Here is a 25,246-nt window from a genome sequence, read left to right on the forward strand (position 1 = left end):
GCTGGGCGTGGTGGCTCGTGCCTGTAGTCCCAACTACTTGGGAGGCTGAGACACAAGAATCCCTGGAACCCAGGAGGCGGAGGCTGCAGTGAGCCGAGATCGCGCCACTGCACTCCAGCCTGGGCGACAGAGCGAGATTCCGTCTCAAAAAAAGGAAAAAAAAAAAAAAAGAAGATATTCTCATGCCCTTTGGAAATGAGGCACCTAAGCCTCAGAGAAGTTAAGTGCCCCAGTACGCTGCACATTTAGAACTCAAACCCAAGCCCCTGCTTCTAAAAACCGTGTTCGTTCCGCCACCCCACAGCTGCCCCTCTATTTTTGTAGGGTGATTCTACAGAACTGGGAAGGTAAGGAGTTGTAGAAACCCTCTGCCACATTTTATTCTTTGCCTTTCGTAGAAAAAGATCATACTTACGTTGCTTTGACTCACTCTGAAGATTAACCTGGAATTGCGTCTCTTCTTGGACAAGTCAGAAGTCCTTTCAACTATCCTTTTCAATTATCTTCTCCTGTCTGGTAGTTTCCCATCTAGAATTTTAATTCACGAAGACTGGAAACAGGACTTCACAAAATGTCATCCTGGCACATTTTCCAGGAGGAACGGTTTTATTTATAAACAAATAATCGGAGCATTTTCATTTCGCTATGATGATCGCTGTAATTGGCAGAATCACAGTCGCGCTGGGGCTCGAGGCTCCCGGAGGCCGGGGGGTAGGCACGGCGCGGACGCACCCTAGGATCGCCGCCAGAGGGCGCCAGCGCGCTCCTTCGCGTCTGCTGCTGCCCTGATGAAAACGCTCACAGCGCACGCGGTACAGACGGAGCAAATCCTATGAACTTCTCCAGCCCAGTTTAGAACAAGGGAAAGGGGAGCGCGCGGTACCGGCTGTCCACTCCGCGGTCCTCCTGGCTCAAGTCACCCTGAGTCTTCCCCCAGCTGACAAAGGCGATCGGACGCACAGCCAGGACCCAGAACCGTGGATGGATCCACTTTGCCAATATATTGAAAAAACTGATGCCATGTTGAGAGAAGAGAGAAATCTATTTTTGTAAGAAATGTTACTTTACACATACTTTGCTGATTTTTTATCTCAAAAAACCCAAGACCTGGTGTAGTGTCCAGTAACTCAGTTGCCTGGAGCCCTATGCAATGAGACTGAATTTCCATGGGGCCCGGTTAGTAGCTTTAAATCATTTTCAGGCAAGGCGTACACACACACACACACACACACACACACACACACACACACACACACACGTATATACACAGAGAGAGAGAGAGCTCACCTGGTACTTCTCTTTCGTTTCATGGTGACACATTACAGTGCACACAACTTGACCAGCTTACAGGTGCTAGAAATGGAAGTCTGAGGCTGACAACTCAAGGGTGTGTGTGTCAGGGGCAACAGCTCCGTAGATGGGTATTATTAACTATAATTACACCAACCCAGCCTCTTTTGAAAATTGATCAGAGATGCTTTTTCTTGTCTTGATGAGTAGGTCGGAGTAATTATCATTTGCACTGGGAAATAATACCATTGGTTCTAGGGCTGATGTCTGCAAAGCTGGCTTCACTGTTTCTTGGACTTGTCTTTCATCACATACCTCAAGTCTCTCTGAGAAAGAAACTAATTCACTATTGTTTCTCCGCTGTGGGAGAGGAAGGCTGTGGGTAGGGAGTAAACTATAACCGAGATGTACACTTACTGTATTTCATGGTGGTTAGTGCCCTGGAACCAACGTTTTTGTTTCGTTTTTCAAATGCAACAGTCTGACAGGTTTTACTAATACTAGCCCTCATCTGGCTTTTACTGAGGTGTCTGTCTCGTGTTACAAACCATTCTGTGTACTGAGGATACAGCAGTGAAAAACAGTTAAAAAAAAAAAAAAAAAAAAAAAAGCCAGGCGCAGTGGCTCAAGCCTGTAATCCCAGCACTTTGGGAGGCCAAGAAGGGCCGATCACTTGAGGTTGTGAGTTCAAAGCCAGCCTCACCAACATGGTGAAACCCTGTCTCTACTAAAAATACAAAAATGTATTTGTACATGGTGGCACATGCCTGTAGTCGCAGCCACTCGGGAGGCTGAGACAGGAGAATTGCTTGAAGCTGGGAGGCTGATGTTGCAGTGAGCCAAGATCGCACCACTGCACTCCAGACTGGGCGACAGGGCAAAACTCCCTCTCCAAATAAAAAAGCTCTAAGTAATCAAATAACCAAGTAATTAATTACCCAAAGTCAGTCAGCAAATGAGTCAGAATTCAAGCCACAATAGCTATTATTCACACTAGTCACTCCTAAATTTTTTTATTTAGTGACAGTGTTTAAATTGAGCTAAGAATGTCTAACAGTATCTGAGTAGCTAAAGATTTGGAAAGTCTTGTCTTCTGCCATCCAACATTTGGTAAAGACATGGTTATTTTAGCCAGCATCCTTTTTTTTTTTTTTTTTTTTTTTGTATTGTTTTGTTGGAGAGAGTTTCACTCTTGTCGCCCAGGCTGGAGTGCAATGGCTCACTGCAACCTCCAACTCCCAGGTTCAAACAGTTCTCCTGCCTCAGCTTCCCAAGTAACTGGGATTACAGGCATGTACCACCACGCCCAGCTAATTTTTGTATTATTAGTAGAGACGGGGTTTCACCATGTTGGACAGGCTGGTCTCAAACTCCTGACGTCAGGTGATCCGCCCACTTTAGCCTCCCAAAGTGCTGGGATTAAAGGCATGAGCCACTGTGCCTGGCCTCTTTTTCTGAATATAAGTGAATTTTAAAAATCTGTCACCTGTGAAAGTAGACTAAATTCCAAGTCGTCAAAGTTCTGAATAAGCTGCCTACCTGGACTGCTGATCTGTAGTTCATCTAGCTCAAGGGAAAGCTAAGAAACAAAACAATCCTGTCTTTTAAAAAGGTTTGGGAAAAGCAGGGTATAGACGGGGCCACAGAGCACCCTTAAATGTTGAACTATAATGACACCTAAGTCATCCCTGTATTTGGCAAGTTTCCATGAAAGGGTGGTTCAAAATGACTCTTAATTATGTTTTTGGGTTTTTTCTAAAAGGCCATCTCAGAATTTTTTTTTTTTTTTTTTTTAGTTTGAAAGCAGCCTGTCCAACATGGTGAAACCTCATCTCTACTAAAAACACACAAAAAATTAACCAGGCATGGAGGTGCACACCTGTAATCCCAGCTACTCGGGAGGCTGAAGCAGGAGAATCGCTTGAACCCGGGAGGAGGAGGCTGCAGTGAGCCAAGGTTGTGCCACTGCACTCCAGCCTGGGCGACAGAGCAGACTGTCTCAAAAAAACAAAACAAAAACCTTTATGAATGCTCTTCAATGGCTGCCAGGTTTGCTTTTTTTTGGCATTTTGTTGTTAGGTTAGGAGGCTATCAAGAAATATGCAGAAAGCTAAATAGATCCCTTCCCTTCTCCTGTTCTCAAACTTACACTATTTCTAATAACCAAGTGAGTTAAGTGGGTTTTAAAATAGATTACTCCTCACAATGTTTCTTTCCTTCCACTTACCTGGCATGTGTAATCCCAAAGAATCTTTTAAATTTTGTGGTGAAAAATCCCATTTCTGTTCATTTGGATTTCCATTCATTATTTACTAGGCATTTAACTATGCTCTATGCTGGGGAATCCGATGGTCAGTAAGACATGCCTTGGGAGCTGTCTGGTAGGAAAGATGGACAAGTCACCAGGAAGTGACAGTAGACATTGGTAAATGCCATAGGAATATCCCAGGAATGGAGATACCAGCATCATCAACATGGGGCACAGAACCCTGGACCTGGGCCGGCTACATTAAGACTCTCTCAATGAGATGGTAAAATCAGGGACTATTTTGTTCATCCAGCTATCTGGGGTGGTAAGCACAGTTGCCCAAGGCATAGGGAGCCCCGCAGGAGGACAGCTGAAGAGGAAGGCACATTTGGGGGAAGGATGGCACATGAGGTGAGATCGGAGTTAATCAGGCCAGATTATGAGGGCCTCGGATGCCATACGAGGGACATGATGTTTCAGATCAATTCCTCAGGCAGCTGTGTGGATTGGCGATGGGACCTGCAATAACTCTGGGTTACCTAAAATAGTGGCAGTGAGGCTGGAAAGAAGTGGGACAGGAGGAAGTCATCAGCTACAGGTGGCTGCTGAAAGCAGAGAGGGAGAAATCACCCAGGAAGAATGGAGACACCAGGGGAAGCTTCTAGATAAAACAGCATCTCTTGGCTGAGCTAAAAGAGGAGCAAATTTGTCTTTTCTCTTTATGAGACAGGGTCTCACTCTGTTGCCCAGGCTAGAGTATAGCAGTGCCATCACGCCTCACTGCAGCCTCGAAGTCCTGGGCCCAAGCGATCCTCCCACCTCAGCCTCGTGAGTAGCTATGACTACAGGTGTGCTCTACATCCAGCCAATTTTTTCACATTTTTGTTGAGACGGGGTCTTCTGACCAGGCAGGGTGGCTCACGCCTGTAATCCCAACACTTTAAAAGGCCGAGGAGGGTGGATTACTTGAGGCCAGGAGTTCGAGACCAGCCTGGCCAACATGGCGAAACCCGTCTCTATGAAAAATGCAAAAATTAGCTGGGTGTGGTGGCGCATGCCTGTAACCACAGCTGCTTGGGAGGCTGAGGCATGAGAATTGCTTGAACCTGAGAGGCATTCCAGCCTGGGCAATAGAGACTAACAAAACAGACAAGTTCTGGAACTCCTAGCCTCAGGTGATCCTCCCACCCCTTGGCCTACCCAAAGTGCTGGGATTACAGGTGAGCATGGCACCTGGCTTAAGGAGTTCTGGCAGAGGCCCTACTCCCTGCCCTGCATCCTGTCTCCCATGGCCTCTGGCTCTAGCCCAAGCTTGTCCAACCTGTGGTCCAGGGCAGCTTTGAATGTGGCCCAACACAAACTTATAAGCTTTCTTAAAACACCATGATTTTTTTTTTTTTTTTTTTTTAGCTCATCAGCTATTGTTAGTGTTAGTGTATTTTATGTGTGGCTGAAGACAATTTTCTTCTTCCAGTGTGGCCCAGGGAAACCAAAAGATTGGACACACCTGCTCTAGCCAACGTTCATTCCAGCCCTCCTGTGTCAATCTGCTCTTCAACTCAGCCTTTCAACACACTCAGGTCCTGCTTATCTGGGCAGTTTGTGGCAGGAGCTGTGGAGGCTAGGGCATACCCCCTTCCACCCTCTCCAAAGCATTACTTTTACTATTAATATAATAACTTTGGAGGTGGCAAAGAGAAATTTATGTTAGAGCAAAACTACAAAAACTCTCATAGATCTGATACTGATGACTTGTACACTTCAGATCATTATCAGTGATGTAGAATACAACGTATTCTCAGCTAGCACGTTCTGCTACCAATTAGCTGCTTTTTACAGTGCTAACGTACACATTCTGTCACCTTAACACAGCTGGTTTCTCTAACAAGCCTTCATGTTTCGCACGTCAGCACCACCACCACTGGGCTCCTCTCACGAACCTGTTGTAACGGGCCTCCCAGGTGACTGCTATCTCCTGACGCTGGGCCCACCACCACCTGGAAGCCCTCAGGCGCTGACACTACCACAGGGATTTTCTTCACCTGGAATCTGAAGCAAATGTGCATTCTTCTGGCAGGGAAGCCTGCGGCCCTAGACATCCTCAAAGACGTTAACAACAAAAAACCCACAGCTTTAGACTCAATAAATTCAGCAGAGTTCACTTCTCCAAACATACGCCAAGCCAAAGTTTTCTCCAAGCCCTTTAATATTCACTTAAACAGTTGAGGCACAAGCAATAATAAAACTGCATTTTTTACGTTACAAAAAGATTTTGTATGTTATCTGCATGATATACCAATTTTCTCAATCTCTTCTGCAATAACATCTCATTAACACTCTGGTCCACATGTTGATTTAATAAAGTCAGAATGGCAGGTGGGAGGATGGTAAAATAAACTTACCAAGGGGCAAAAGGAACCAAACATTTACTGAGTGCCGACTATGCAAGCTCTACTAGGTTTTACACACTTTACATAAACGTGAACCTAAGTTCTAGTTATCAGTTAACAGGCCAGCATTGCTACAGCCAGTAAGTCTATGTTTTCAATGTTCTTTCGCTTTTAAGTACAAATTGTGGAACAAAACTATATCTTTGCCCAAAGAAGCACATCAACTGTTGCACTAATACATTATTTTCCATTTCCAAAGTTTTTTAGTAAGTGTGCAACATTAGCACATGGAAACGCTCAAGCTGTGTATTAGTTCACTGAGATCTGGGGTTTTTTTGTTCTCACCTGCTGAGCACCATTTGGCCAGCATCACTACAACAAGCTGATTACATCACCTTGTAAAACTTAAGATGGGGATGAATAGTGTTTGGCAATTACATTTCTGGGAGAAAAAACTGCTGATTTTTTCTTTAACTCGACACAGCTAGCTTTAAAAAGTGGTACCTCATTTTAAAGCACCAAAGTTGTCATTTAAATAAGAAAACGTACTTGGGTTAATGAACTGTAAAATGAAGATACCAACGCCTTTTCAAGCATTACAGCAAAGCCAGTATGTTCAGAGCCAAGTGACACCCAGCTCATACTGCACTCCAGTTCCCAAGGAAACGGCGTTTCTACCCTCCCCAAACTTAAGCTGCCCCTCACTCCTCCAGCCAGCCCTCCTTTTTCTGAGCCCATTCTTTCCTTGCTGAGCTATCTGCCCCTTGCTCCCTTTCCCACCCCTGTTCTCCCTCTAACTGCCCCTCTATACATGTCTGGGCTGCTGCCTAAGACTTCTTAGCTGCCTGGTTAGTCACTGACCAATCACCACTACACTGCTTTGGATTTGGGATCCCACTAGTAAAACTAACTGGCATGTCTGTACTGGTCATCCCCCCAAAAAAGCCCTCCTGTGTAACAAAAAAGCACTGTTTAAGGGTTCAGGATCACAAACCCTCAAGATACCCGAGAAAAGTCCTCAAATGTGAGTCGCCTAGTCTAACAGTAGAGGTAAGTTCAAAGATGAAATGTGATTTGTTCAAGGCTGTGCGGCTAATCAGAGGCAGAAACTAGACCTATTTCTCCTTCCACTGCACCACAAAAAAACCGAGATTGATAATGATTAAGAAGAGTTTGTAAGTCAATCAAAATAAAATGCCTAGTACATAGGAAAAGTCTTTGGGATTTCTCCAGACTTTTAGACAGAACAAAGGCAATCTTTACAATGAGAAATGCTCCTCAGTTCAACAGATGCCACCAAGTACCAAGGATCCTTACTCAGTTCTGAAACTGTGACTACGGAGAATATGTCACTATTTGAGAATAAGAGGTCCCACCTGCTCCACTCTTTTCAAGTTTTCAGTCACAAGGTTGCAACTTACTCTCATCGTTTCACAAGATAATCAAGTTGAAGCAGGATTAAGGAGGTACACTGAAGATAAAGCAAAAGGCAACAAGCATTTTTACAAGCAGATCATCCCAGTTACCTTAAAAGTTTCGGATTAATTTACAGAGTAGTGACAGAACCATATAATTTCAGTGAAAATCAAGATAGTTATACCATTAAAAAAAACATCAATTCAGAAATACTAAGTCAGGCAAGCATGCAAAATTCAGAATATAAAAAAATGCAGGGCCTGGTTGCCCACATACATTCCTCAGGTTAAGGTGGATTTAAAGATGCCCAACAGAACCCAATGAATCAGAAGCTAAAAGGGACACTTCAGTGATCAGCAGACGCATTCTCTCACGTAACAAATGGAGGGAAAGTGAGCACACATTAACTAGCGAAGCTCACAAGGCTAGATTAGGGGTGTACAGAAATCTAATTCCTGGTGCTATTTGCAACTACATATATTTAAAATACAAGGAGATAAATACCCAGAACACATTAAGCCTACTGATTTAAACAGAACATTTCAAGACTGCTACACAGAAAGGGAAGGAAGCTGTTAACCCAGCACAGCAGCACACCTCACATATTTACGTCTCAGAGATTAAATGGAAAGAAAGGATCAATCAAAACCTTTAATGCTCAGTTTTCACAAACACAGTCAAGTCTATCAAATTTCCAGATTTACAGCAAAATGTGCCCTCTAAAAAAGTGTACATTCTTCAGTTTCTCCTATACTTTTTTTTTTTTGCCTATCTTTCAAAACTGAGCACTGGGTATTTTTAACATAAGCCATGTCATATGTACAGTTTAACTATGTAACTATGTTTCAGGAATAAACAAAATCCATGATATTTTAGTAACTCATAGTGTATTTATAGAATGAAAAGTTCTCTATCAAAATACACTTTTCACTGGGAAAAATAAATAAAATAGACAAATGGATCTACACAAAGTAAACATTAACTTTGGTAGATTTCAGTGTAGTTCATAACAAGCATATTTGCCCTTATTCCCCCAGAGCTGCTCAACTACCAAGAATTTTTAAAATATTTTTAACTGAGATTTTATTATGTTGACATTTGTTTCTCATTCCACATCATCTTCAGCCAAGCTCTGAGCACTTACAATTCTCTGAAAGAAAAAAAAAATAATTTTTTAAAGTGTCATAAGCATTTAATTAGGATTCTAACTTCAAAATAAAATGCTCTTTGTATTCAAAGAATTGAATCTTAGTAAAGTTCACCCATTCTGACATTTAATTCAAAATGTAACACTTTACACACAGTCGGCATCCAAGAAAACAATGATCATACTACTGACAATCCCATTTCAAAAGTCAAGTTAACAAAGGAGGCAGATCATTACATTATATATGTTTTTAATTCAGATGGGGTCTCTGTAACCCAGGCTGGAGTGCAGTAGCACAATCTCAGCTCACTGCAACCTCTGACTCCTGGGCTCAAGCGATCCTCCCCCACCTCAGCCTCCTGAGTAGCTGGAACCACAGACTCATGCCACCATGCCCGGCTAATTTTTTTTTTATTTTTGGTGCAGACAGGGTTTTACCATGTTGCCCAGGCTGGCCTTGAACTCCTGAGCTCAAATGAGTGCTAGGATTATAGGGCATGAGACACTGTGTACAGCCATCATTACATAATATTACATCAGTCAATTATGTAACTAAAACCAAAAAGATTTTAAGATCTCTTTTCACTCCCAGGCAAACCAAGAACACTGATAATTGAGTGAAGGAGGTCATTTTTAAGGAATTAGGCTTCATAGTGAATTCACAAATATTCCAAAAGACATCACCCTCAGGCCAATTTTCCAAAAGTACTATACTATGCTGCCTTTCAAATAGCGTAATATTAAACCGATGATTCCAGTATGAATCCTCTAGAACTAGAACCACATTAGTCTAAATAAAAACAATTTAGACAAAGTCCTTGGTTGTCCAACTTGTTCCCTCAAGTCGTTGGGATCTTTACTTTCTTTCCAGTCCTTTTCTAATTCAGTTGAGTAAAAATCAGTTTGAAAAATTAACCAGTCAGTTACTAACTATAAAGTTCTGTAAATACTTCCTATCATCATTCACTGTTTTAATCACACCAACTTGGGAAATCAACACTTGTAACAGACACGCTATTCCAAAAAGCAAGATTCATTTGGGCTCCTTGAAAAGAACTCAAAATGAAGAGAAAGCATTTTCATTAACTCCTAATTTACACATAAGTTAATCTTTTACAGTATATTAATGCTATTTTGCATTTTTGAGTAGGGATTTGGGGATGTCGTCAAATAGCTCCAAACTCAAAGTGCACCTCAGCAGCAGCAGAGGCATGAGCCTTTACACAAGTGAGTCAGAGGGAATCCATGCTCTTGAATGTCTAGAACCGACGTTTAGGCCCGAATGTGTAGGCTATAGCTATCTAGGCTCCTCTGTCAGATCACCTAACTGAAGGCATGGTCTCCTGGAAGAGTAGGCAGAAAGCTACTTGTAGAAAGTAGCCAAGAGTGACCTGAATTTGGACAGTTGACTACTAAGACCTGAGACTTATCACTAAGACACACACTTCCTGATCCACCTCCAGGGCACAATCACTAGATCTGGGCAGTCATCTGGATGTTTCCCACCAGAGAGGAAAATGTCAAGCGCTGATATCTCCCATATTGTTTTCATTATACAGATAAGTTTATTTCATCATGTTCACTAGGCTCATTTTAAAATGTCCCTAATCATTCGATTCTAAATCCCACTCACTTTTATGTCATAACATTCCAATTCCTTACCTGACTAATTGTTGGGAGCTTAGTCAGAAGCATCTGGAACACTGGTGGTGGAAGAGTTTGCTGTAAGACCTGCAGTAACTGCTGTGGCTGTCCACACACAGCAATTGCATTTGTCAGATGGTCTACGCCCTTCTCATATTCACCTGTAAGATTTACATAAAATTACATGTAACCTGAAAAGCCTTGGCCTTTGTCAAAATTAACTTTACACACTATCTCCAAATGATGCTGACCAAAAACACTAAGCAAGTAAAATACTGGAAATGACCTATAATGCATTCATATAACTATTATGAAGCTACTAACAAGAATGAGTCAGATTACATGTACTGATATGGAAGTGTTTCAAACATATGTAAGGGGGAAATCAATGTATAAAAATGTCAAAGTATATTACTATTTATATACTTGGAATATTTCTGAAAGACTACATGAGACAATTGCTAACAATCGCATAGTACTTTTCTGTAACACAGAACTAAAAGACTGGGGACTGGGGTAGAAAGAAGACCCAATTTCACATTAAGCCAAATCTTTGTACTATTTGAATGGTATCGCATGGGAAGAAAAAAAAATTTTAAGTGATACTAGCAGGAAAAATGGTCATACTAATGAAATATGACAGGAGAAATAAAGCCATGATTAACTCTGAGTGGGAGGGCTTATTTTTTCTTTTTTTTTTTTTTTTTGAGACAGAGTCTCGCTGTCACCCAGGCTGGAGTGCAGTGGCACGATCTCGGCTCACTGCAGGCTCTGCTCCCCAGGGTTCACGCCATTCTCCTGCCTCAGCCTCCCGCGCAGCTGGGACTACAGGCGCCCACCACCACGCCCGGCTAATTTTTTGTATTTTTAGTAGAGACGAGGTTTCACCGTGTTAGCCAAGATGGTCTCCATCTCCTGACCACATGATCCGCCCACCTCGGCCTCCCAAAGTGCTGGGATTACAGGTGTGAGCCACCACGCCCAGCCTATTTTATCTATAAATATCCTTCAATAGACATATTATGTTTGAAAAAAATACTTAAGGCTTACAGTTTTTCAAAGTTCACTTAATTCAATAAATAATAAGTATCTGCTATGTGCTCCTTGTCCTTAGTTAACTCCATTTTATTTATTTTTTGAGACACAATCTCCCTCTGCCACCCAGGCTGGAGTACAATGGTACAATCTTGGCTGACTGCAGCCTCAACCTCCTGGGCTCAAGCAATCCTCCCACCTCAACCTCCCAAGTAGCTAGGACCATAGGTGTGCACCACCACACCGGGCTAATTTTGCTAATTTTTTTTTTTTGTAGAAACGGGGTCTCACTATGTTGCTCAGCCTGGTCTCAAACTCCTGGACTCAAGTAATCCTCCTGCCTCCACCTCCCAATGTGCTGAGATTACAGGCATGAGCCACTGCACTCGGCCCTAATCCCACTTTAAATCAAACTCCAAAAACTGTCCCAAAATATTTGAGCAAAACTATGCTATTAAATATTTTAAATTAAGCACTGTTCTGTATAGGAGGTTCCCATTAAAATATTTTAATGTGCCTTACATAAAAATAACTCCATTAGATATACTTTTAAAAAATAATACGGCCGGGAGCAGTGGCTCATGCCTGTAATCCTAGCACTTTGGGAGGCCAAGGTGGGTGGATCACAAGGTCAGGAGTTCAGACCAGCCTGACTGACATGGTGAAACCCTACTGCTACTAAAAATACAAAAATTAGCAGGGTGTGGTGGTGCACACCTGTAATCCCAGCTACTTGGGAGGCCAAGGCAGGAGAATTGCTTGAACCCGGGAGGCGAAGCTTGCAGTGAGCCAAGATCGCACCACTGCACTCCAGCCTGGGCGACAGAGCGAGACTCTGTCTCAAAAAGAAATAAATAAAAATAAAAAAATAATAACAATACAAGTAGAGGAACAATTCTCAAGTCTGTCACATTTCTGTACTTCTGAGCAGATATTTACTGCCTTTGCTCCAAACTGTCTTTTCAAGGATGTTTGTACAGTAAACAACCTCAGAATATAAACTGCCTCCCTCAGGAGCAAAGGCAGGTTTGCAACATTACCTATGTGTAGGGAAAAGCACACACATGTTTACTGCCCATTATAAAAAATTCAGGATCCTTAAATTCAGGGCTCCTCTCCTATACGCAACCCACTACATGTACATGTGTCCCCTTTCTGCATTGCCATAGGAACTGTGGCTCGGGAAACCAGTGCAAATGCCAATACCCTTGTTACTATTATTGCAGTGAATAACGAGCTGTCCTTTGTCTCTAGCCCAGTGGTCTCATGTCTTTTGCCAGCATCCATGAAATTGGGGCAAACTAACATGTTAGCATGCAAGTAAAGTAAATCTCAGAAATGAACGGGAACGGCGGCTCACACCTGTAATCCCAGCACTTAGGGAGGCCGAGGTGGGTGGATCACCTAAGGTCAGTTCAAGACCAGCCTGGCCAACATGGTGAAACTCCATCTCTACTAAAAATACAAAAATTAGGCCGGGGTGTGGTGGTTCACGCCTGTAATCCCAGCACTTTGGGAGGCTGAGGTGGGTGGATCACGAGGTCAAAATATCGAGACCATCCTGGCCAACATGGTGAAACCCGGTCTCTACTAAAAATACAAAAATTAGCTGAGCATGGTAGCACGTGCCTGTAGTCCCAGCTACTCAGGAGGCTGAGGCAAGAGAATCGCTTGAACCTGGAAGACGGAAGTTGCAGTGAGCAAGATCATGCCACTGCACTCCAGCCTGGCGAAAGAGTGAGACTCCATCTCAAAAAAAAAAAAATTAGCTGAGCCTGGTGGCACACGCCTGTAATCCCAGCTACTTGGGAGGCTGAGGCACAAGAATTGCTTGAACCCTCGCTTGAACCCGGGAGGTGGAAGTTGCAGTGAGCTGAGACTGCACCATTGCACTCCAGCCTGGGCAACAGAATGAGATGCCATCTCAAAAACAAAACAAAACAAAACACCTCAGACCTTTTCCAGTTCTTAATACCATTAAGATCATTTTTTACTAGATTCTTTTTATTTACCAAACAATTTCCCACGATATAAATTCACAGGAAATTGATCTTAAAGAGTAAGAATGGGGCTGGGCACGCTGGCTCAAGCCTGTAATCCCAGCACTTTGGGAGGCCAAGGCGGGCGGATCACAAGGTCAGGAGATCGAGACCATCCTGGCTAACATGGTGAAACCCCGTCTCTACTAAAAATACAAAAAACTAGCCGGGCGTGGTGGTGGGCGCCTGTAGTCCCAGCTACTCGGGAGGCTGAGGCAGGAGGATGACATGAACCAGGGAGGCAGAGCTTGCAGTGAGCGGAGATCGCGCCACTGCACTCCAGCCTGGGCGACAGAGCGAGACTCCATCTCAAAAAAAAAAAAAAAAAAAAAAAAAAAAAAAGAGTAAGAATAGACCAGGTGCAGTGGCTCACACCTGTAATCCCAGCACTTTGGGAAGCCAAGGCAGGTGGATCACTTGAAGTCGGAGTTTGACTAGCCTGACCAACATGGTGAAACCCACCCCCTACCAAAAATAGGAAAAAATTAGCCGGGCTTGGTGGTGCATGCCTATAATCCCAGCTACTCATGAGGCTGAGGCAGGAGAATCGCTTGAACCCGGGAGGCAGAGGTTGCAGTGAGCCGAGATCACACCACTGCACTCCACCCACTGCACTCTGGGTGACAGAGTAAAACTCCACTTCAAAAAAAACAAAAAAAAAAAAAAAGGAGAAAACAGTTTCAGATCAATCTTACTAATTTTTACCCAGCAAGCTGAGGATATTAAGTATGTCTTAGGGAATATCTCTACCATCATACCCGATGCACTTGACCCTGTCAGCTGACGGCAAGCCTGGGTATCAGGATAGTCACTGGTGTTCTTTCCAGGCTCTTAAATCTGGTATATGTTTTCTGTGCTACCAATTGGCTGCTGTGGAAAGACTGAGAAACATTTTGGGTAAAATTTTGACTACTGCGGGGTATCTGATGGCACCTGAGTATAAGTAAAGGTTTCCAAGAGCTTTCTTAACCTCTTGACCATCAGCAGAAACAGGTGAATCTCCACTGCCAATGTGAGGACTATGATTGTCCCATCTACACAATGTTTCAGGATACTCCAATTGTGTAGGTCATTGTCATCTGGGTTCCCAGGCACCATCTTGGCCAATTCCTTTCCCAGGTATTGAAATGATGATGTAGTGATACCCATCACAAGGGATCCGACCCAGGGCTGCACACTGATCCACTGATGGTCACTTTAGAATTACAGTAATCAAAAGACTGGCTAAGTCAGTTCCTGCTTCTGAATACATACTATAATTAAATCTCTTCTGAACTAGCACTGTTGATTACTGTATCTGCAGATTTAGCAACAATGCTGAAGATACACTGACACAACCTCAGTTGCAGTGATCTTGTCATTTTGAGCTCCCTTCTTGTGCAAAGTGGATGTTGCTACAACTTTTGCTGACTGGATAGCCAGATCGTCGTAAGTGGTATCTTTTGTTAATACAACAGCATGGAGAATATCATAAAATCTATCTATCAGCATAGGAAGATCAAACCCAGTGTTATGCGATGCAAGGAGCAGAGCAACTCAGTATGCAGCACTGCTTTAGCACTGAGGGGGAATGCTTTCCCTTTCCCCAATGCCTGGGTCCTCTCTCTCAGATTGATGGAGAAATTGCAGTGTGATGCCTGTAGGAGACTTGGAAATGTTTCCTGACTGGTGCCTATCTTGTACTCCTCTGCAGTTACAGATTTTATGTATATAGTTTTTAAGAGACAGCATATCATTCTGTTGCCCAGACTGAAATGCAGTGGCACCATCACAGCTCACTAGAGCCTCAAACTCCTGGGTTCAAGGTATCCTCCTACTTCAGTCTCTGAGTAGCTGGCTACAGGTGCATACTACTGCACCTGGTTTATTTTCTCATTTACTGTAGAGATGAGGGTCTCACTTTGTTATCGATGCTGGTCTCGAACTCCTGGCTTCCAGCAATCCTCCTGCCTCAGTTCCCCAAAGTGCTGGGAATACAGGCATGAGCCACCATGCCTGTCCCTACTCACTGATTTTTACCCCTTCCCAGTCTGTTGGCAATTTGAGTACTGTGACTCTTTAGGTCAAATTAATTGAGCAATTCTATTGATATCAAAAAAGTATTTCTTGGCAAAGGGGAGACGTGATAAAGTTAGTTACCACCATTTTAAATGAATTAAACTCTCCCCATAAAAGAAACAACAAAACAAACTCATTCACACACAAATGCCCCACATCATGTAGTTCAATTCTATCTAAATCTATTGATACAGCAATCAGAATTTTAAAATATTTGATAGCAGTTTTAATAACGATAGCAACTACTTCAAATCTACTTTTGAGATTATTGAGTAAATTACGGTTCTCACGTTTGTCAATTTGATAATTTCAATTTCATAGCTGAACTTTAAAGATAGAATATTTTTTAGAAACTTCTTAGCACTGTTGATGAAATAAATGAAGTACAATGTAATGAAAAGGCTAAATTCTGGATCAGATAACAAGTTGGTTCTGAAATAAGGGGTCATGAACTCACCGTGTGACCTTGATTAGGTAAATTAACCTTCTCTGGGACCTTACATTAGCCATTCCTTCCTATAAATACTGGAAAAGATCTGAAGATTAGATGAAGGAGTTGAGGAGTATATTCCTAGCTCACATTCCTTCAGTTACTATTTACATATCGCACTATGGCTATACATTAGAAACTACTTCAGAGTAAGAGAACCTCATTTGTAAAAACTTACTATCTTCTACATCATATGATATAGCAAGAAAACCTAAAACTCACTTAAAATATATTATGGACAACAATATCCCACAAGGAATATTTCTTTCTAGAGCCAGTCTTACACAAAATAATCTTCCAATTATTAAGTGCCTAAAAACTTGTCTTGAGATACTTGGAGTACCTTTTCTAACAGCCAAATTACACAAACAAAGCCCCTTATCATTATAAATTTCTATCAGTGAGAAAAATTCTACCCATTTCCTTAGCTTTTCAATGACTATTACCTTGAGCTAGTAACTCTTCACCAAGCTGTATTTCTTCAAGGAAGAACTTCTGAACAGCTTCAGCATCTTTAAGGTCAGGTAACTGGAAATAAAATATTTAATAAATGACACCACAATTATGCCAGGGGATATAACCAATACACAGATATCAATAAAAATAAAACAACAAAAAACCAAATCACTCATTCTAAAAAAATCTGATAGAAGAACTTTACTCCTGAATACTTGTAGGAATTAAGAGTTCATCTACATTCAAATGAATAAAAGAAAAAACTTGAGTTTGTAGTTGAATAATTCTTAGAAAGCTCTAACTCGAATGTAAAGAGAAAAGAGTGCAAAATCTATACCGTCTACGCACGTTACAATATTTTCGGATGCCATTATTGTAGATTTTTATACAACTGTAAGCAATTTGTCCTTATGATTCAACATTATTTTATACAGATTTTGTTGTTTTTGTTTTTTTGTTTTTTGAGACAGAGTCTCATTCTGTCACCCAGGCTGGAGTGCAGTGGCACAATCCCAGCTCACTGCAACTCCCACCTCCCGGATTCAAGCGATTCTCCTGCCTCAGCCTCCCGAGTAGCTGGGTGCCCGCCACCATGCCCAGCTAATTTTTGTATTTTTAGTAGAGATAGGGTTTCGCAATGTTGGCCAGGCTGGTCTCAAACTCCTGACCTCAGATGATCCACCCGCCTCGGCCTCCCAAAGTGCTAGGATTACAGGTATGAGCCACCGCACCCAGCCTACATTTTACATGCATCTAAAAGACTGTTTTTTGAGACAGGGTCTCACTCTGTCGCCCAGGCTGTAGTGCAGTAGTGTGATCACAGCTCAGTGCCTTCACCTCTCAGGATCAAGTGATCCTCCTACCTCAGCCTCTCTCTATAAAAAAAATAAAAGATTAGCTAGGCATGGTGGTGCATGCCTATAGTCCAGCTACTAGGGAGGCTAAGGCAGGATTGCTTGAACCCACGAGGTCGAGGCTGCAGTGAGCTGTGACTGCACCGCTACTGCACCCCAGCCTGGGTGACAGGGTGAGACCCTGTCTCAAAAAAAAAAAAAAAAGAGGCCATTTTTATTTGAAAACCTGAACTTCAGTAGCTGGGTGCGGTGGCTCATGCCTGTAATCCCAGCACATTGGGAGTCCAAGGCGGGCAGATCACAAGGTCAAGAGATCGAGGCCATGCTGGCCAACACAGTGAAACGCCATCTCTACTAAAATACAAAAATTAGCTGGGCATGGTGACATGCACCTGTAGTCCCAGCTGCTCGGGAGGCTGAGGCAGGAGAATCGCTTGAACCTGGGAGGCAGAGGTTGCAGTGAGCCAAGATCACACCACTGCACTCCAGCCTGGTGACAGAGTGAGACTCCATCTCAAAAAAAAAAAAAAGAGAAAACCTAAACTTCCATTAGTGCAAGTTTTTGGTCCTTGAATTACACTGTACATACTCTTATTAACCTAGCCAACACAAGTGAAACAATTTAAATTTCTGAAAGTGGAGACATCTTTCACACACTACCCCAGCATGTAGCAATAATTTAATTCTATTCTTGAATCTAAAAATACATACTGGTGCATGTCTCAATCTGTTTTCCTATGCCCTTAGAAATATAAGTTACCAAAAGCATAATAAACATATTACATACTTCAGAAAGGTAGTCTGATCCTACTAGAACGAAGTAGTTTCCTCCCATTTTCACTTCACTATTACCATGTCCAGTCAACTAGCTGTGTTTACACAACTGTTTCAAAATAACAAAATATACTGGTTAACTTAATTTTTCCTTGTCTCAACTTGCTTTAAAAAGAACCACTAATGATCCAGTAATCCAAGTCCTAAGAACCCAAACAATAGAACTCATCTCAATAAAAAGGAAAAGCTGCAAGCACAATGATTAACATTTACTTAATTTACTTACACACGCCACAGAACATTTTTTTACCAAGTAGATAAACCTACATAGTCATTAAAAATAATCAAGAACTCAGGATCTATGAGAAGAAAAAATAAATTACAAGTTTTATATCCAGAACTATGTACTGCAACAAGGCAAAAATTTGTCAGGGCAGTGGGATTCTGGATCAGTGGGCTTGAATAATCTTGAATAATTTTTGAAATAATAACCCATGGTTCTTTTACAGGAAGTTGGAGTAAAGAAATTAAATCTTAAGTGTAATATTGTATCATTTTGAAGCAGCTGATTAGGAACTTTTCATCTTTTGGTGCAAATGTCTTGAGGCCCTCATCTTGCTCCTTAATTATTGTTCATACAGTAAGCTGTTTGTTGTTATGGCCAGCAAAAGAAATAATGAAGGACTCGATAACTGTCATTGGAACTACATTATTCACCTACTCCTAAAAATAAGCTGTATTTTAAAATAAAAAAGCAATGTCCAGTATCAACTAGCTTTTTCCAATTACATTTTAATTACATTTCCAATTACAGATTTTAAAATAATATTTCTACAAAATATATAATTTAAACAGAAACCAGACTATTACCTTGGAAAGCCCAGCTCTCTCCTTGGCAAGCTTCTGTTTCTTTCTTCCTGCAAGAAATGCAAAGTTATATTTACATTTTGTCATTATAAAAATGGGAATCAAAAGAATTCTAACTGCTGTGGCAGTCATTAATTCCATTTGCAAAACATTTCTAACTCTAGGAATCTATCCCTCCCTGTGATCTGTCAAGAGCATATGACATGTTCTGGTCAATGAGCTGTAGGAAATGTGACACTGCACTGGAGCGTTCTCCTTCCCTTTGGGGCAGAAGATCTAGCAATTTGCAAGATGGAGATAGCTCCAATAGCTGGACTTCTAAAGTAATTACAATAAGCAGATCAAGTCCCCCCTTCCAACCAACAAAGGATATGTAACAGGGGCAAGAATTAGGCCACTAGTATTAGGGAGTTTTATTACTGAAATATGCCAGATTATATCTTTACTGAATGTTGCAAACTGGCATTCTTAAATGAAAGAAAAAATCTAAAGTGTACAGGAGGCATATGATGGTTACATGAAAATACTATACCACTTAAAGGTACTTGAGCATCATCAGAATTTGGTATCCAGGGGAGGCCTGGAACCAGTCACTCAAGGATACTGATGCAGGACTACACCTAAAGTGATAATCACTAAAAACTACCAATGACATAGAGAGTAACTGCTGACATAGTTAAGAAAATGTAAGGCTCCAATACTTATTATTAGCTAATACTTATTAGCTGGGTGATCTTAGGCAAATCTCTCACTCTCCCAAGATAAGGTCTAACCTTACAGGACTACAGTGAGAAACAAAAGCCATGAAACAAGCAAATGTCCTCTGAAAACCTTAAAGCACTCTACAAATCCAAGCTTCAATGCATGACTAAAGAGGTCTGAGGGCCGGGCCCAGTGGCTCATGCTTTAATCCCAGCACTTTAGGAGGCTGAGCCAGGCAGATCACAAGGTCAGGAGTTCGAGACCAGCCTGGCCAACATAGTGAAACCCCATCTCTACTAAAAATACAAAAATTAGCCGGGCATGGTGGCGGGCGCCTGTAGTCCCAGCTACTCAGGAGGCTGAGGCAGGAGAATTGCTTGAACCCGGGAGGCGGAGGTTGCAGTGAGCAGAGACTGTGCCACTGCACTTCAGCCTGGGCAACAGAGCGACACTCTGTCTCAAAAAAGAGGTCTCCCTACCTGTAGACAGAAGGTTCATTTACTATGGTCAAGGTACCTTTTCTTAGTCAACCCTCATAAACTGGATTTCATCACACCAGCATCAGATACCCACTCGTCTCCCATAATAGAGTGCTACCACTGTAAGGCTTAAATACAATTCTAGCCATTTCAACAGAAAAAGTATGCATTAAAGTTGATCTTATGTATTAATCTGAAGGCTGCTAATTTTTCTAAGTACCTTACTTAAGTGTTCATCACCGCACAACTAACTGTGGGGAAAAAGGATAAAGAACATAATTCAACCCTCCATTTGCTTATGGGTTTTTGTTCTCTTAAGGCAGAAAATAATGAGTGATAACAGACAACAATATCTAATTGCTAAATATCGTGGTCTACACTGGAACCTGTACTGGAGGGAGCGTAGCAAAACTAGAAAAGAAATGGAAGACTTCAAAGGATCTGGACATGAAGACAAGGAACGCTTGGATGTGAGCACTAAGTTTTAGATGCTACATGCGAGACACTGTTCTAAATGTTTATTAGCTTATTTAATCCTCACAACAACATTAAAAGAATTACAGCTGGGCACAGTGGCTCACGCCTGTAATCCCAGCACTTTGGGAGGCCAAGGCGGGCGGATCACTGGAGGTCAGGAGTTCAAGACCAGCCTGGTTGATACGGTGAAACCCCGTCTTTACTAAAATACAAAAAATTAGCCAGGTATGGTGGCAGGCGCCTGTAGTCCTAGCTACTCGAGAGGCTGTAGCAAGAGGATCACTTGAACCTGGGAGTTTGAGGTTGCAGTAAGCTGAGATAGCGCCACTGCGCTCCAGCCTGGGCCACAGAGTGAGACTCCGTCTCAAACAAAAACAAAAAACAAAATCCAGGTACTATTATCATCCCCATTTTCCAGATGAGAAAATGTACCAAGGTCACAATTACTTACTGGTGGAATGGCAACTCAAACCCAGGCTTTTGGACTTGAAACATGACTCTCTTCTGCCTCTATAGTTAATAGTGTGGAGAAGTAAAGATGTTATTACCATCAAAACAAAAGGCACCTCAGAAATGAACATGCCAAGTTTGTGGGATCAACTGTATGTGAGACATACAATTTGCTAAACCAGAATTTAGGGAAAATGACAAAACTGATAATGAAACCCAGGAAAGTGAAACTGAGTCATAAGTTTTTTTAATAAGGTGGGGAGGAGTGTGTGATTGCCACTGAATACATTTAACTGATACAGCTACCAAATTTTAAGATCACTTAGTTGCTTTACATTTTTAGCAATAAGATTAAAATTCTGGCTTTAGTTTCATAATACAATTAACTTATTACATTAACATATTTTCAGATATAGTATAATGCAGTATTTCTGTGATAAAGGGACAGATGGTAATCAACTGAAAAACCATGAAGAAATTTAACAATGAGCAAAATCAAGCCTTGACTCAATGTTTCCAAGATTTATTCATTTAAATAAGATGCTTAATATATTTTTAATGTGTCATTTTATCCGTCCCATATAAGTGAAATGCACCTGCAGCTGGCATTGTAATTTGGCAAATTACATTTCATTTACTCATAATTTAGAATGATAAAAACTACACCTCAAGGATCCTGATACTCTGCTTTTGCTAACAGGTGACAAAAAGTCTAAATAAATTAGGATCCCAAATTTAACCTCAAGCCTCATTTTAAACAATATAAGGCTCTCTTCTTTTATTTTTTATTTTTTTTCTTTTTGAGACGGAGTCTCGCTTTGTCGCCCAGGCGGGAGTGCAGCAGCGTCATCTCGGCTCACTGTAAGCTCCGCCTCCCGAGTTCACGCCATTCTCCTGCCTCAGCCTCCCCAGTAGGTGGGACTACAGGCACCCGCCACCATGCCCGGCTAAGTTTTTCTATTTTTTAGTAAAGACGGGGTTTCACCATGTTAGCCAGGATGGTCTCGATCTCCTGACCTTGTGATCCGCCCGCCTCGGCCTCCCAAAGTGCTGGGTTTACAGGCCTGAGCCACCACGCCCGGCCGCCTAAGTCTCTCTTCTTAACAAAAAAGAAAGCCAATGAGCTACATGCCTTATGTGAAAAACTGCTCTTTTATTGCAGATGTAAATATTCTATTGGAAATAAGACTAGAAGAACTCAAAATTTAAAAAAAATTAATTTTAAAAACTCAAAATTAACTGAACAGAATTTCATTCCACAAAGGCAAAATACCCCTAAACTTTTTAAAATCAGCCAGTCACGCAACTGCACTTTTTTTTTTTTTTTGAGACCGAGTCTCGCTCTGTCCCCGCTCTGTCCCCAGGCTGGAGTGCAGTGGCGCCATCTCGGCTCACTGCAACCTCAGCATCCCAGGTTCAAGCGATCTTCCTACCTCAGTCTCCCAAGTAGCTGGGACTACAGGTGCGTGCCACCACGCCCAGCTAATTTTTTTTTTTTTGTATTTTTAGTAGAGACGGGGTTTCACCATGTTGACCAGGCTGGTCTCGATCTCCTGACCTCATGATCTTCCCACCTTGGCCTCCCAAAGTGCTGGGATTACAGGCGTGAGTCACTGCGCCTGGTCGATAGATTAGATTAGATAGATAGATAGATAGATAAAGATAGATAGATATAGATATAAATATATATAAAGACACACACACACACACACGTATATTTTGGAGACAGAGTCTTGCTCTGTCCCCCCAGGATGGAGTGCAGTGGTGCAGTCTCTGCTCACTGCAACCTCCACCTTCCACATTCCAGCAATTCTGCCTCAGCCTCCCAAGCAGCTGGGACTACCGGCGTGCACCACCACACCCGGCTAATTTTTGTATTTTTAGCAGAGTGGGGGTTTCACCATGCTGGCCAGGCTGCTTGAACTCCTGACATGAGGTGATCCGCCCACCTCGGCCTCCCAAAGTGCTGAGATTACTAGCGTTGAGCCACCACACCCAGCCTCAATTACCTGTGAACAGACTGCAAGATTATTCTAAATAAATTTTACAAAAACATCAAACAACAAAATATTTCTACTCATAAAAATATCTCATCCGGACGCGGTGGCTCACGCCTGTAATCCCAGCACTTTGGGAGGCTGAGACGGGCAGATCATGAAGTCAGGAGTTCGAGACCAACCTGGCCAATATGGTGAAACCCTGTCTCTACTAAAAATACAAAAATTAGCCTGGCATGGTGGTGTGCGCCTGTAATCCCAGCTACTCAGGAGGCTGAGGCAGAATTGCTTGAACCCGGGAGGCGGAGGTTGCAATGATCCGAGATCACCCCACTGCACTCGAGCCTGGGCGACAGAGCGAGACTCAAACAAACAAACAACAACAACAAAAAATCTCTAGCATTCATCAATTACCATGTGTGAGGAACAGGACTAAAACTCTACACTATACCATTTTACAAAAAGGGAAAACTAAAGCTTGAAGTTACTTGCCTAAAGTTACTGCTGCAGCTAAGTAATTCACTGTAATCATTAGGTTGCCGCTAAATCCAGAAAAAACAATTTTAGATTGAAAATGATGGAGAAGTTATTTTGAAATAACATTCCTCCATTTGTCTAAAATGATAGCTCTTGTTTCTGCAACAGGACTTCAGGGTTTCCAACGGAAGATAGGGTTAATCCATTCTTTATAACTCTGCATTTGTACCAAAGCCCCCAGCTGTCACCCATTTTGGCAACTACAGGACAATAACCCGAAGGCAGAATGACCACCAGCATTTATGGAGGAGCATTTCCTATGTCAGAAAACGTGGAAGGCAATTCAAACATCTCAACCTTCACAAGATCAACAAGAGGTAGGTGGCATTACCTGATTTTACAACTACAGAAATTAGGATTCAGAAACCCCAAATTATGCCGCTAACCTGGCCCTAGAAATTCAAGGTCTGAATGTAAAACAGTATTCTATTAGTCTGCCTAGTCATAAATCAAATTATGTCTATATCCCTTCCCTCCTAAAACATAAGAAAGCTGGAACTAGATGTCTGATTCTTAGTGCTAGTAAGATCAGCGCTGCAGTCACTGCTCACACAGGGCTACTGAACACTTGAAATGACTTAGTATAGCTGAATTAAACCGTAACCACTGTTACTTAAGTAAACAATAATCCCTTCTTTGTACCCCTTGGGCTTTAGTAACTTACGTATCAATTTTAATTCCAAAAACTAATTTGGCTGAACAACCAAGATAAGCCAAAAAATATTTCTTATTGCAACAAATTTGCTCTTCAATGATGCGAATGAAGATTCTCCGAAAATTCAAGGTGGATCACAACGGTTTTCATGACACGATTCCCCTCTGGTAGACCTCTCTTAAAAGATGTCGCAGGTATGAAATAAGACTGAGCCACGGGAGAAGCGCAGCCCTTTGGACTCCCCTGCAATTTCTATAGCATTCACTCATATCTTGGAAGCACTTAGAACGAAGCTACCAAGAGGGTTTAAGAATGCAGCAATGAGCCAGGCGGATCATCTGAGGTCAGGAGTTCGAGACTAGCCTGACCAACACGGTGAAACCCCGTCTCTACTAAACACAAAAAATCACCGGGCGTGGTGACGCCCGACTGTAATCCCAGCTACTGGGGAGACTGAGGCAGGAGAAGCGCTTGAACTCGGGAGGCGGAGGTTGCAGTGAGCCGAGATCGCGCCACTGCACTACAGCCTGGGCGACAGAGCGAGATTCCGTCTCAAAAAAAAGAATGCAACAATGATACTGCACTGAGCATGCGGATTTAGCCTCAGACTAAAATTTGCGACAAAAATGCACGACTTTTTAGTTAAGAGTAGAGGTTTAAAAAGATGAACGACAAAAAAAGAGACAACCTCCTCCCCAGGCCACACACACCCGAGATTGCAACAGAAATCAAGAGTGCATTTGCACGGCTAAAGTGTCTGGGGAAAACAAAACGGGAAAAATCCTTCCTCCAAAATGGAATTCCTACGGGGCACTAGAGCCCCCGGAGCGGCGCAGCCAGCGCCATCGCCTATTGAGGGCCGCACCACGCGGTCGCCCTGCGCGGCCCACAGGCTGGTGGGAGGCAATGACCCCTCCTGTGAAGGGCGGCGGCCGAAGGCAGCAAGCCTGGCCAGGGGAGAGAGGACCCACTCACGTTCTCGAAGCCTGTTCTTGAAGTTGGGGTCACTTCGTCTTTTGCGGTCGAAGTAGATGCAGTACCCAATGAAAAGGGCCCCGCATACACCGGCGGCGATGGCGCTGTTCCGACCCACCATCTTCTCTACAACGCTGAGCGTGGACGGTGGCGGCAGGGACCGCGAAGGAGCGGTGGGCCACGAACCCTCAGAGCGGTCGGCGCAGCTCACACCCGACGGCCGCGGGCCAGGAACACAGAAAGGCCGAGCACACGCCACTTCCGGT

General features: G+C 42.6%; 1 protein-coding gene, 1 long non-coding RNA gene and 1 other non-coding gene across 3 annotated transcripts, besides 3 other annotated features; all 3 read right to left on the minus strand.

Moving 5' to 3' along the window:
* Nucleotides 666-835: a silencer, noted in NCBI's record as "silent region_1984". NCBI's record gives its function as "represses an Ori minimal core promoter by ATAC-STARR-seq in GM12878 lymphoblastoid cells {active_cell/tissue: GM12878}" and the evidence as "EXISTENCE:reporter gene assay evidence [ECO:0000049][PMID:35858748]".
* Nucleotides 1,456-1,595: an enhancer, noted in NCBI's record as "active region_2792". NCBI's record gives its function as "activates an Ori minimal core promoter by ATAC-STARR-seq in GM12878 lymphoblastoid cells {active_cell/tissue: GM12878}" and the evidence as "EXISTENCE:reporter gene assay evidence [ECO:0000049][PMID:35858748]".
* On the minus strand, nucleotides 5,727-25,223 carry TOMM20 (translocase of outer mitochondrial membrane 20). Its single transcript, NM_014765.3, has 5 exons — nucleotides 24,981-25,223; nucleotides 18,712-18,758; nucleotides 16,204-16,285; nucleotides 10,154-10,296; nucleotides 5,727-8,494 (listed from the first exon to the last, which is right to left on the minus strand). The coding sequence occupies exons 1-5, from the start codon at nucleotides 25,099-25,101 to the stop codon at nucleotides 8,450-8,452; spliced, it is 438 nt and encodes a 145-aa protein (NP_055580.1). The 5' UTR covers nucleotides 25,102-25,223; the 3' UTR covers nucleotides 5,727-8,449.
* LOC105379283 (uncharacterized) lies at nucleotides 23,305-24,587 on the minus strand. The gene is made up of 2 exons (XR_949295.4): nucleotides 24,015-24,587; nucleotides 23,305-23,355 (listed from the first exon to the last, which is right to left on the minus strand). It is a non-coding gene; the product is annotated as an uncharacterized LOC105379283 (long non-coding RNA).
* Nucleotides 24,189-24,323, minus strand: SNORA14B (small nucleolar RNA, H/ACA box 14B). The gene has a single exon (NR_002956.1). It is a non-coding gene; the product is annotated as a small nucleolar RNA, H/ACA box 14B (small nucleolar RNA).
* Nucleotides 24,951-25,170: an enhancer, noted in NCBI's record as "active region_2793". NCBI's record gives its function as "activates an Ori minimal core promoter by ATAC-STARR-seq in GM12878 lymphoblastoid cells {active_cell/tissue: GM12878}" and the evidence as "EXISTENCE:reporter gene assay evidence [ECO:0000049][PMID:35858748]".

This window comes from Homo sapiens, chromosome 1 (assembly GCF_000001405.40).
Source record: "Homo sapiens chromosome 1, GRCh38.p14 Primary Assembly".
Classification (NCBI taxonomy): Eukaryota; Metazoa; Chordata; class Mammalia; order Primates; family Hominidae; genus Homo; species Homo sapiens.

What these genes read in the sequence shown, in the direction of transcription:
- TOMM20 (NM_014765.3), bottom strand. Translation starts at nt 25,101, where the DNA reads ATGGTGGGTCGGAACAGCGCCATCGCCGCCGGTGTATGCGGGGCCCTT. An exon ending in CAAGAACAGGCTTCGAGAAC is followed by an intron (nt 18,759 to 24,980) that starts GTGAGTGGGTCC and finishes CATTTCTTGCAG; the next exon opens with GAAGAAAGAAACAGAAGCTT. An exon ending in AGAGAGCTGGGCTTTCCAAG is followed by an intron (nt 16,286 to 18,711) that starts GTAATAGTCTGG and finishes TTTTATTTCCAG; the next exon opens with TTACCTGACCTTAAAGATGC.